This window comes from Homo sapiens, chromosome 10 (genome assembly GCF_000001405.40).
Source record: "Homo sapiens chromosome 10, GRCh38.p14 Primary Assembly".
NCBI lineage: Eukaryota > Metazoa > Chordata > Mammalia > Primates > Hominidae > Homo > Homo sapiens.
The window spans coordinates 72767078-72781183 of NC_000010.11; the positions used below are offsets into that span (position 1 = coordinate 72767078).

The following is a 14106-nucleotide window of genomic DNA, read 5'->3' on the forward strand; positions in this document are numbered from 1 at the left end:
TACCTGTCTTCTGTCATTAAAAATTAGTTTTAGAGTCTGTATATAAGAATTATGATTTATTTGTCTTTTCGTTATTTTGTGAAAAGGATGATTTCATGTCTTTTTTTTTATTTTAATGGATTACTTTGGTTTAAGACTTCAGGAGTTTCCAAATTAAAATAATTTCCTTTCTGCTGTCTGTCATGATCTTCTCGTTTCTGAAGTTGCCTAGGAAAGGTCTTAGCTGCAATTCATAGTTAAGAAAACTGAGACACAGGTATTATAGAGGCTCAGAGATTACATAGGACTATGTGAGTTCTTGCTTGTTGAAAAAGGACTCGGAAGTCTTGTGAGGAGAATGAAAATATTTTGATTTGACTATATTTATGGTTTGTAATATCAAATAGGTTCATTTCAGCTCTTTTGTATTTAATTTAATTTAATTTAATTTAACTGTGTTTTAATTTTTTTTGTAGAGATGAGGTCTCACTATGTTGCTTGGGTTGGTCTTGAACCCCTGGGCTCAAGTGATCCTTCAGCCTCAGCCTCCCAAAGTGCTGGGATTACAGGCACAATTCTTTGCGCCTGACCCATTTCAGCTCTCTTGTCTCTGCGTGTTAGGTTCTGATGAATTTATAAGGGACAGAAATTAAGGATTTAAGATTTGTGTTTGAGTGCTGAGTCTTTCCCTTTTTGGGGGGATGACTTTGGTCAAAAGGTTTGGTCACTTAAGATTTCTGAAGTTTAGTTTTCTGATCTGTAAAATGAAATAATAATTCACAGTCTTATAGGAATGAAAAGGGAATGTATGAATAGACAGGAGTTTAATTTTGGGATAAATTTTACTGGTTGTTTCATCTTCATCTTGTTAGGCTCTTTTAATTTAGGCAGATGTTAGATGATCAGATCAACTTGGAAAAACAATATTTGAGGGAACATAGAAAATGTCAAGATTCTTAAAATGACTTGTACTATCTATTAAGATGAAGAGTTTCCAAGGCGAATAAAAAAGGCTCATGAAACAACGAGCAGTTATCTTTGAACCAGAGAGGAAAACAAAAAAAACAAAAAAACAAACAAAAGACTTTTTTAAAAAAAGAAGTTGCATTAATTTTTGCATAAAATAAAATTGTCATAGAATCTTTCTTAAATTCTGTTTCTGCAATCCTTGGAATTTTAGGTGGAACTACTGACTATGAAGTCATTTTGGTATTTTATTAATCCATTTTGCCTAGGTTTTGAGATAGACATATGGTTTGTAGTCAATAAGATTCTGAAGAACTACACAAAGGCTTCTGGAAATTTATTTCTTGTTTTTAAAAACATTTATATAATCTCAGTCAATTTAGGATTTAATATTCATGTTAGAATTCCAGTAAATTAGAATTAGGCAAATCAGTCTTGAACACTATGCTAAGTAGTGAAGTTATCAAACCTCTTTTGTAATATTGTGTATCTATACAGTGGTTGCAAAATAGGCTCAGAAGGTTGCATAGAACTAAGTTAGCATGATGATAGTTTCAACCTCTTAAATGGTGAGGTTAGTCCATTCACTTTGATTGTCATTACTAATATATTGTACCATATTTCATTGCCTCTAAGATGCCATCAGTTGTAAGACACTGTTATTTATTAGCAGTAAGAAAAATTACAGTTAAGATGACAATGCTTTGTCATGCAATTTCTTATTTTATGCTTATTGAAAAACTTAGTTTTTTAAAAAAAATTAGATACAACTTTTAGACATTTAAATTGTCTCAGGAGTTCTATTCCAAGCCGCTGACACATGTTATGCATGGTTTTTGTTTTTGAAACAGGGTCTTCTTGCTCTGTTGCCCAGGCTGGAGTGCAGTGGTGCAATCATAGCTCACTGTAACTTTGAATTCCTGGGTTCAGGTGATCCTCCTGCCTCAGCCTCCTGAGTAACTAGGACTACAGGCATGCACCACCATGCACAGCTAATTTTTTTTTTTTCTTTTAAGAGATATAGTCTTGGTATGTTGCCCAGGCTGGTATCTACCTTCTGGGCTCAAGTGATCCTCCCTCCTCAAAGCACTGGCATTACAGGTGTGAGCCATCATGCCCAGCCATTTTGTAGTTTTTGGTCCTGGAACTTTCTTGATCTTAGTGTCAGTGGAATGTCTGAGCAACATGACTTTTATTTCTTCCTAAAATGAACCTTAAGTGGTTTGTTGTCAAAGGGTTTTAGGTAACCAGTTATGCCATGAAGAATAAAACCGAGTTCTTGCTCACACAAACAATGACAACTGTGTTACAACTGCTGCTTTGCTGTCAGAGATTCCACTGCAGGTAGATGCATCTTGGTTTCATCCATGTTAAATATGGGGAGGAAAGGTTTTAATATTGATGAAACATACTATTTTATTTATTTTTCATTTTTGTTTGTTTTTTGAGACAAGATCTCTATGTTGCTGAGGCCAGTCTTGAACTCCTGGGCTCCGGTGATACTCTTGCCTCAGTCTCCTGAGTAGCTGGGATTGCAGACATGTACCACTGTGCCTGGCTGTAGAAGTGTGTTGATTTTAACAGCCTTATAAAATGCAGTTACAAACCATACAATTCACCCATTTAAAATGTAACCCATTTCAATGGTTTTTAGTATAATCACAGTTGTACAGCCTTTACCACAATCAAGTTTAGAACATTTTCATCACCCCAGAAGGAAACCCCATACCCATTAGCAGTCATTTCTCATTTCCCCACAATCCTTCCAGCCCTAGGCAACCAGTAAGCTACTTTTCGTTTCTGTGGATTTACCTACTGTGGACATTTCTGTAATGGAATCATACATTGTGTGGTGTTAGGTCGGTGTTTTGGTTATTGATGTGAGATCTTTTAAAATATAGGTATTTACAACTATAAATTTCCATCTGAGCACCACTTTAGCTGCATCCCGTAAGTTTTGTTATATTGTGTCTTCATTTTCATTCATCTCAAAATCGTTTTCTATTTTTCCTTTGTGGTTTTTTTTCTTTCTTACATTGGTTATTGGTAGTGTGTTGTTTAATTTCCACATATTTATGAATTTACCAAATTTACTTCTGTCACTGATTTCTAATTTTATTTCATTGTGATCAGAGAGCATACTTTATTATTTCAATCCTTTTAAATTTATTGAGGCTTGCTTTATGGCCTAGCATGTGATGTCTTATATTTTTATACCTCTCTTTTCCCTCACTGCTTTCTTTTGCATTATGTGAATATTTTCTAATGTAACATTTAAATTCCTCTAATGATTTTTTTCCACTATTTTTAAAGATTGTTTTCTTACTGGGCTCTAGGGTTTATCATATACATCTTAATTTACCAAAATCCACTTCAGATTTGTACTAACTCAATTCATGTGAAATATCAAAAAGTTGCTCCAATTTATCTCTATTTCCTCTTTCTTTTTTGTGCTATTACATTTTCTCAGTGCTATTATTATTAAATATTATAGGTATATATGTTACAAACCTAACAATGTTATAAATGGTACTTTGCATAATTTTACACCTTTTAAAGACACCAAGAGAAATATGGAGAGCAAGGATTTTTTATAGAGTTTAATATTCACCTTCTTATTTACCATTTCTGGTTGTCTTCATTTGTTTCTGTGCTTTCAAGTTACCTTTTGGTATTGTTTCCTTACTTCAATTCATGTTTGCCTCTACTTACTTTCTTTGTTCTGATAGCGTCAAATATATTACATTCCTAAATGTTATAGACCCAGTAGTACAATTATATATATATTATCCTATATAATTGCTTTTTAAATAGTTAATATAGAAATATGCATTTGTACTGTCTTTTATAACTATAATTGCCTTTACTGGAACTCTTCGTTTTTTTTCCTTTGTATTTGAATTACTTTTCGGGGTCATGTGTTTTCAGCCTGAATAGCTTTCTTTACTATTTCTTGTAATGCAGATCTGCTAGCAAGAAATTCTTTCAGTTTTTATCTTGGGATGTCTTATCTGCCTTCATGGTTTTTAAAAAATTATTATTATACTTTAAGTTCTGGGATACATGTGCAGAACATGCAGGTTTGTTACATAGGTATACATGTGCCATGATGGTTTGCTGCACCCATCAACCCGTCATTTTACATTAAGTATTTCTCCTAATGCTATCCCTCCCCTAGCCCCCTAATCCCTGACAGGCCCCAATGTGTGATGTTCCCCTCCCTGTGTCCATATTGTTCAACTCCCACTTATGAGTGAGAACATGTGGTGTTTGGTTTTCTATTCCTGTGTTAGTTTGCTAAGAATGATGGTTTCCAGCTCTATCCATGTCCCTGTAAAGGACACAAACTCATCCTTTTTTATGGCTGCATAGTATTCCATGGTGTATATGTGCACATTTTCTTCAACCAGTCCATCATTGATGGGCATTTGGGTTCACTCCAAGTCTGTGTTATTGTGAATAGTGCTGAAATAAACATAGATGTACATGTGTCTTTATAGTAGACTGATTTATAATCTGCCTTCATTTTTAAAGTCCACTTTGCTGAATATAAGATTTTTGGTGGACACCTTTTTTGTTGTTTCAACACTTAGAATGTCATCCCAGTGCCTTGGAAGCTTCATTTTTTATTTTTATGTTTTAAAATTTCACTTTAAGTTCTGGGATATGAGTGCAGAATGTGCAGGTTTGTTACATAAGCATACGTGTGCCATGGTGGTTTGCTGCACCTATCTACCTATCGTCTAGGTTTTAAGCCTTGCATTCATTAGCTATTTGTCCTAATGCTCTCCCTCCCCTTGCCCTCCTCCCCACTACTGGCCCCAGTAGGGCCACAGAGAAGTGAAAAATTTTAAGCAGACAGTAGGAGAATCAGACTTCCACATCTTCATTGCCCCACCACCCCATTCTACCCAGGACAAATAGTTTGTAAAATCTCCTTCCAACTCATGGCTTCTACACTGGAAACAGTGAGGCTGAGGTAGTCAGCGAACTTCCCCACCATCTTGGGTTCCCTGTCGGGAGACTTGTCCTTGCCTTAACCTGTGGGAAGCACAGTGACTGCCTGAAGGGAGAAAATGCCTGAGGACAGGCAGAGACAAAGTGGGGAGGTGGGACTACCATCCTCAGCCCTGAAAACTGCTCTGTTACTCAGTCAAAGGAAATGCCAAATCATAGTGGCTGTTCAGCAGCACCATGCTGTAGGAGGTATGTTCCATAAGTCCCATGGGCACAAACTCCTAGCCAGCCTTGACACACTGCTGGGATAATCCCTTTGGGACCTCCCCTATTCAGATTAGGCAGTGGTTTGATCATTTCCTAGAGCTGAAAAGGAGGCAGTGACTTAGCAATATTGATTCACTAAGCAGATACATCTAATAAAAATCAAAACAAGGCTGGGTGCAGTGGCTCACGCCTGCAATCCCAGCACTTTGGGAGGTCAAGGTGGGCAGATTGCTTGAGGCCAGCAGTTCAAGACCAGCCTGGCCAGCATGGCAAAACCCTGTCTTTACTAAAAACACAGAAATTAGCTGGGCGTGGTTCTGCACACCTGTAATCCCAGCTACTCAGGAGCCTGAGGCACGAGAATTGCTTGAACCTGGGAGGCAGAGGTTGCAATGAGCTGAGATCGTGCCACTGCACTCCAGCCTGGTGGGTGACAGAGTGAGACTCTGTCTCAAAACAAAACAAAATCAAAACAAGCCAGATAGAAAAAACCAAAATAACAAATCCTTCAAAGACATAGAAGGTATACCCATAAGAAACAACAGGAAATCATGACCTTCCCAAAAGGACAAAGCAAAAATCCAGTGACTGACCCTAACAAGATGGCAGTTTGTGAGCTTTCTGATTAAGAATTCAAAATAGCAGGTTTTGTTTGTTTGTTTGTTTGTTTTGAGACACGGTCTTTCCTTGTCACTAGGCTGGAGTGCAGTGGCACGACCGTGGCTCACTGTAGCCTCAACCTCCCAGGCTCAGGCAATCCTCTCACCTCAGCTTCCTTAGTAGGCGGGACTACAGGAACATGCCACAACACCTGGCTAATTTTTGAATATTTTGTAGAGATGGTCCCACCATGTTGGCCAGGCTGGTCTTGAATTCCTGGGCTCAAGTGTTCCTCCTACCTTAGCCTTTCAAAGTGCTGGGATTATAGGCATGAGCCACCATACCTGGCACAAAATAGCAATTTTAAGGAAACTGAGTGATCTCCAAAATAACAAAGAAAAGCAGTTCAGAAATTTATCAGAGAAATTTAACAAAGAGATTGAAATAATTAAAGAAAAAACCCACAGAAATCTTGGAAATGAAAAACACATTTGCTTAACTGAAAAAACTCTGTGGAGGCTCTCAATGGCAGAATGGATCAAGCAGAGAAAATAGTGAACTTGAAGATGGGCTATTTGAAAATATACAGTCAGTGCAGAACAAAGAATGAAAAGGAACAAAGACTGTATATAAGATATAGAAAATTACCTCAAAAGGCAAAATTTAAGACTTACTGGTGTTCAAGAGGGAGCTGAGCAAGAGGAAAGATAGAAAGCTTATTCATAGAAATAATAACAGGTAATTTTTTAAAACTTGAAAAAGATAGAAATATCCAGGCACAGGAAAGTCTGTGCCAAACAGATTAAACCCAGATGAAACTACCTCAAGGCATATAATAAACTCTCAAAAGTTAAGAACAGAAAGAGGATCCTAAAAGCAGCAAAGAAAAGAAGCAGATAACATATAAAGGAACTCCAATTGGTCTGGCAACAGACTTCTCAGTGGAAACCATATAGGCCAAGAGGGAGTATAATGACATTTTCAGAATTCTCAAGGAAAAAACTGCCACCCAAGAATATTTTGCAAAATTGTCTTTCAGAAATTAAGGTGCAACAAAGCGTTTCCCAGACAAACAAAAGCTGAGAGAATTCACCACCACCAGACCCATCTTACAAGAAATGCTAAAGGGAATTCTTCAATCTGAAAGAAAACATAAACCAACAAACCACTAACGTGCTAAAGGAAAACTTTTCAACATATAACATAAACTTTTCAACATATAAAATCCACTGGTAAAATTAAGTACACAGGCAAATACAGAATACTCTTACTGCAATTGTGGTGTGCAGTACACTTATAACTCTAATATGAAGCCCAAAATCACATCTATCAAAAACAATAATAGCTACAGCAACCTGTTAAGAGATAGGTAATGTAGGTAATATTAAAAATGTAAATTGAGTCAAAATGTGGAGGAGATGGAGTTAAAGCATAGAATTCTTTTTTTGTTTTACCTTTGTTTGTGTATTTTTGATCTAAGTTCTCATCTCTTTAAAATAGCTTCTTATGTCTGTAAGATGTTTTTTGTAAGCCTCATGGTAACCAGAGTACAAAAACCTATAATAGACTTACTAAAAACACAACAAATTAAAAACAGATTACTAGGGAAAGTCACTTAACCACAAAGGAAGACAGGAAGAAAAGTGGTTCAAAACAATCAGAAAATAAGCCACAAAATGGCAGTCGTGAGTCCTTACTTATTAATAATAACACTGAAGGTAGTATTGTCAGTTCTCCAATTAAAAGGCATAGAGTGGCTCCATGGATAAAGAAACAAAACCCAACTATATGCTGCCTTCAAGAAACCCACCTCACTAATAAAGTCACACATAAGCTGAAAGTGAAGGGTGGAATAAGACATTCCATGCAACTGGAAACCAAAAAAGAGTAGGAGTAGCTATACTTATATTGAATAATATAGACTACCAATCTAAGACTGTAAAAAGAAACAAAGAAGGGCACCATATAAGATAAATAGATCAATTCAGCAAGAAGATATACCAATTATATTATAAATGTCTATGTACCCAATACTGGAGCACTTAAGTGTGTAAAGCCAATGTTAGTAGATCTAAAGGGAAATACAGACTACAATACAACTATAGTAGGGCACTTTAACACCACAGTCTCAGTAATGGGCAGATCATCCAGACAGAAAAATCAAGAAACATCTGAGTTAAACTACACACTAGATCTAATAGACTTGATATTTACAGAACATTTCACCCAAATGCTGCAGAATACACATTCTTTTCATTAGCACATCAAACGTTTTCTAGAATAGAGTCTCCCTTAGGCCACAAAACAAGTCTGAAGAAATTTTTAAAAAACAGAAATAATATCAAGTATCTTTTCTGACCACACGGAATAAAACTAGAAATCAATAACAGAAGGACCCTGGAAAATACACAAACACATGGAAATTAAACAACATGCTCCTGAATGACCAATGGGCCAATGAAAAAATTAGGAAAATTAAAAAGTTTCCTGAAACAAATGAAAATGGAAAATATAACATACCAAAATCTATGGGATACTGTAAAAGCCTTACTAAGAGGGAAGTTTATGATGATAAACACTTCTATCAAAAAAGAAAATTAGAATTTAAGTAAACAACGCACCTCAAAGAACTAGAAATGGAAGACCAAACCAAACCCAAAATTAGTAGTAGGAAAGAAATAAAGATCAAAGTAGAAATAAATGAAATCGAAACCAAAAAAACTCCACAGAAGAACAATGAAACAAGAAGTTGTTCTTTTAAAAAGATAACCAATATCAACAAATCTTTAGCTAGTCTACAAAGGAGAGAAGACCCAAATAAAATAAAAAATGAAAAAGGAGGAATAACTGAAACCTCAGACATACAAAGAATGGTTAGAGACTATTTTGAAGAACTATACACCACCAAAATGGGAAATCTAGAAGAAAAGGATAAATTCCTGGATACCGTACAACCTACCAAGATTGAACCACGAAGAAATGTAAAACCTCAGCAAACCGATCATGAGTAATGAAATAGAAGCTGTAATAAAATTGGGCCAGGTGCAGTGACTCATACCTGTAATCCTAGCACTTTGGGAGGCTGAGGTGGGAGGATCCCCTGAGACTCGGAATTTGAGACCAGCCTGGGCAACATAGTGAGACCCTGTCTCTACAAAAACAGTTTTAAAAAATAGTTGGATTTGGTGGCATGTGCCTGTAGCCCCAGTTATGTGGGAGGCTAAGGTGGGAGGATTGCTTGAGCCCAGGAGTTTGAAGCTGCAGTGAGCTATCATTGCACTACTGCACTACAACCTGGGCAACATGAGTGAGACCCTATCTCTTAAAAAAAAAAAAAATTGAAGAGGAGATAATACTTTCAACCTTATTCTATGAGGCCAGGATTACCCTGATACCAAAACAGATAAGGACCCAAGAAAAGAAGAAAAGTACAGGCCAGTATTATTGGCGAACATAGATGCAGAAATCCTCAACAAAATACCAGGAAACCAAATTCAACAACACATTAAAAAGATCATTCACCATGATCAAGTGAAATTCATTCCAGTGATATAAGAGAATGATTCAACACATGCAAATCAATAAACATGATATATCACATTAACAGAGTTAACAAAAACCACATCATTGTTTCAACAGATGCTGAAAAATCATTTGATAAAATTCAGCACCCCTTTATGATAAAAGCCCTCATCAAAATGGGTATAGAAGGAGCATACCTCAAAATAATAAAGGCCATAAATGACAAACTCATAGCTAACATCATATTGTATGGGGAGAAATTGACAGCCTTTTCTCTTAGGAGTGGAAGAAGATAAGAATGGCTACTTTTACCACTGTTATTCAGCATAATACTAGAAGTCCTGGCCAGAGCAATTAAGCAAGATAAAGAAATAAAGGGCATCCAAATTGGAAAGAAAGAAGTCAAATTAGCCTTGTTCACAGATGACATGATCTCATACCTAGAGAAACCTAAAGACTCCACAAAAAATTGTTAACACTGATAAATGAGTTTAGTACAATTGCAGGATACAAAATCAACATACAAAATCAGTAGCATTTATATATGTTAACAGCAAACAATCTGAAAAAGAAATCAAGAAAGCAATCCCACTTATAATAGCTATGAAATACCTAGGAGTTAATCTAACTGAATAAGTAAAAGATCAAGGAAAACTATAAAACTCTGATGAAAGAAACTGAAGAAGATGCAAAAAAGCAGAAAGATATTCCATGCTAATGAATTGGAAGAATTAATATTTTTCAAATGACAGTACTACTTGATGTAATTTACAGATTCAGTGCAATCCCTATCAAAATACCAATGATATCCTTCACAGAAATAGGGAAAAAAATTCTAAAATTCATATGGAATTACAAAAGACCTTGGATGGTCAAAGCAATCCTGAGCAAAAAGAGCAAAGCTGGAGACACTACCTGACATCAAAATTTACTCTAAAGCTACAGTAAGCGAAATAGCGTGATACTGGCTTAAAAGCAGACACATAGACCAATGGAACAGAGTTGAGAATCCAGATATCAGTCCATGCATTTACAGCCAGCTGATCTTTGACAAAGGAACCAGAACATACAATGGGGAAAGGACAGTCTTTCCAATAAATGGTACTGTGAAAACTAGATAACCATATGCAGAAGAACGAAACTAGACCCCTAACTCTCTCCATTCACAAAATTCACATCAAAATGTATTAAAGCTTTAAATCTAAGACCTGGAACTGTGAAACTACCAGAATAAAATCTTGGGGAAACCCTCCAGGGCACTGGTCTAGGCAAAGATTTTTTGGGTTAGACCTCAAAAGCACAGGCAACCAAAAGCAAAAATAGGTATGGAATTACATCAAGTTAAAAAGCTTCTGCACAGCAAAGGAAACAGTCAACCTAGTAAGGAGACAACATAGAGAATGGGAGAAAATACGTGCATCTGACAAGGGATTAGTAACCAGAATATATAAGAGCTCAAACAACCCAATAGCAGAATAACAAATAATCTATACAGTGGGCAAAAGATTCAAACACATTTCTTGAAAGAAGACATACAAATGGCCAAATAGGTGTGTGAAAAATGCTCAGCATCACTAATAGAGAAATGCAAATCAAAACCACAATGAGATATCATTTCATCCCAGTTAAAATGTTTTGTATTAAAAATGACAGTAACAAATATTGATGAGTATGTCTAGAAAAGGGAACCCTCGTAAACTGTTCTTGGGAATGTAAATTACTACAGCCACTATGGAGAACAATATGGAGTTTCCTCAAAAAACTAAAAATAGAGCTGCCATATGATCCAGCAATTTCACTACTGGGTATATAGCCAAAAGAAAGATAATCAATATTTTTAAGGGTTATCTGCACTCCTATGTTTAATGCAGCAATATTCATAATAACCAAGATATGGAATCAACCTAAGTGCCCATCAATGGATGAAAGGATAAAGAAAATGTGGTATATATACACAATGGGATATTACTCAGCCTTAAAAAGGAATGAAATCCTGTCATTTGCAGCAACATGGATGGAACTGGAGCCCATAATGTTAAGTGAAATAAACCAAGCCCGGATAGAAATATCACATCTTCTCATTCATATGTGGGAGCTTAAAAAGTGGATCTCATGAAGATAGAGTGTAGAATGGTAGTTACAGAGGCTGGGAATGGTTGGAGCCGGGGGGTGGGGTTTGGGAGGCATGGGTAGAGGACAAAAGAATATAAAGTGGTAGCACAATCATGTTGATAACTTAATTGATTCATGCTAGCAAGAACACTGTCCTTGTTTTGTAATAAACCAATATTCATAATTAAAATGTCCCACAGGCATTAAAAAATATCATGCATGGAAATAATGAAAACGATTGAATATTTGACTAACTGGTCAAACTAGATTTTGACTGTTAATATAAAAAATCACTATCCTTACCAAGTGCACATTGAAATAATGTACTAAGCAACAAAGGATTTTTCAGTATATGATAAATACTGGAAAACCGAAAAAAAAAATTTCAGTGGGGAAAAAAAACTTACTGCAAAGCAACAGTAATGAAAACAGTGTGGAGCCTGCATAAGGATGGACTATGGAATAGAATCGAGAATTCAGAAGTATATTTTCTTTTTCTTTTTTTTTGGAGATGGAGTCTCACTCTGTTGCTGGGTTGGAGTGCTGTGGCACGATCTTGGCTCCCTGCAACCTCCGCCTCCTGGGTTCAAGTGATTCCTCTGCCTCAGCCTCCCGAGTAGCTGGGACTACAGGCACGTGCCACCATGCCCAGCTAATTTTTGTATTTATAGTAGAGACAGGGTTTCACCATATTGGCCAGGATGGTCTCAATCTCTTGACTTCGTGATCCCCCCACCTCGGCTTCCCAAAGTGCTGGGATTACAGGCGTGAGCCACTGCGCCTGGCCTCAGAAGTATATTTTCACAGCACTTTGGGAAGGGCCTAAATGTAGGAGTTACGACAATAAAACTCTGAAGACAACAGGTGTAAACCTTCATGGTCTTGGTCTTGGACTAGTCAAATGATCTTTTAGGTATAACACTAGAGGCACAAGTGACAAAAGAGAAAATAGACTTCATCAAAATTGAAAACTTCTGTGGTGCAAAATGATACCATTAAGGAAGTAAAAAAACAACCCACTAAATGGGAGAAGATATTTGCAGATCATTTATTTGTTAGAGGACTTGCATCCAGAATTTTTTTTAAAAAACCTCTCACAACCCAATAATACAAGGAACAAAAATCCCAATAAAAACGGGATGATTTGAAATGACATTTCTATAAGGAGATGTATAAATGGCCAGTTAGCACATGAAGATGCTCAACATCATTAGTCATTATAGAAATGCAAATGAAAACCACAATGAAATACCACTTTATACACACTGCATGGCTATAATAATGCGACAGAAAATAACAAGTGTTAGTGAGGGTATGGGGAAATTGGAACCCTCATTCATTGCTGTTGGGATTGTAAAATGGTACAGCTACTTAGGAAAATAGTTTGTCTGCCTCTCAAAATGTTGAACATGTATTTCCCATAGAACCTAGCAATTCTACTTGTAAATATGTATATACCCAATAGAAATAAAAGCACATATCTACACAAAAACATGTACATATGTTCATAGCAGCATTAGTCACAATAGCCAAAAAGTGAAATAACCCTAATATCTGTCATCTGATGAATGGATAAACAGAAGGTGGTATATCCATACGATGGAATATTATTCAGCCTAGAAAGGAATGAAATACCGACACATACTATAACCCAGATGAACCTTGAAAATATGGTAAATGATAAGAAGCCAGTCACAAAAGACCACATAATTTGTTTGAAATGTCCAGAATAGGCAAATCCATAGAGAAAAAGTAGATTAGTGGTTGCCAGGGCCTGGGTAGAGGATAATGGGGAGTGACTACTAGTGGGTATGAGGTTTCTTTTTAGGGTGGTGATATACTGGAATTAGATAGTGGTGATGGTTACATAACTGTATACCAAAAACCACTTAATTGTACATTTTAAAAGGGTGAATTTTATGGTATATAAATTATATCTCAAAAGGATTTTTTAAAAAATAGCTGTGGAAGGACAAAATGGAAAATTAAGTCTGCCAGTTATTTTAATGTTCTGAAGTATTCTTTGGCTAAGTGTGTGTGTGTGTGTGTGTGTGTGTGTGTGTGTGTGTGTTGGGTGAATTTGGAAGAGAGGAAGAGAGATAACTGTTGTCATCATTTGTTAAAACAAATTTGCCATAATCTCTTACCATAGCAGGAACACCAGGGCTACTTGATTTAGATGAAGTCACTCAGAGCTTCTCTCCTGCTGCCCTCTCCTAACCTTCCCATCATCTGGAAAGATCTAGCAAGGAAAGACTTGGAAGAGTGATGTCTGGATCTTACCATGTCATTGCATCTCTGGTTTTCTCCAATGTTAATATCTTCCTTACACTCACAGGCTTATTTGTGATAGTTAAATGAAGTTTTAGATGGGAAAGGACTCTTAAAGAATTAAAATCATTCTGCAAACGTAACACAAATATAATGAAACACTGAATGGTGTTTTAATTTGGTGACATTGTGATACCCGTTTAGTTGGTCTGACTGACATATAGAGAATTTGATTAATATTTTATTCATTTATTTGGGGGTATTTGCCTTCTTAATGGAATTTTAAGAATTGGAACACTCAAAAAATAAAAAAAATTTTTTTTAAAGAATTGGAACACTGTAGTGGGCAGAAAGAGGATGGAACTATGGAGGAAATTTAGGTAGGAAAATATTTGATATAGAATCTGGTGTGTTGTTACTGGTAATCAGGAT

The 14106-nt window shown here is 36.2% G+C and overlaps 1 protein-coding gene across 4 annotated transcripts in view; it reads left to right on the forward strand.

Moving 5' to 3' along the window:
- The window catches only part of MCU (mitochondrial calcium uniporter), a 195552-nt gene that overhangs the window by 74935 nt on the left and 106511 nt on the right, over positions 1-14106 (forward strand). The window lies entirely within an intron of this gene.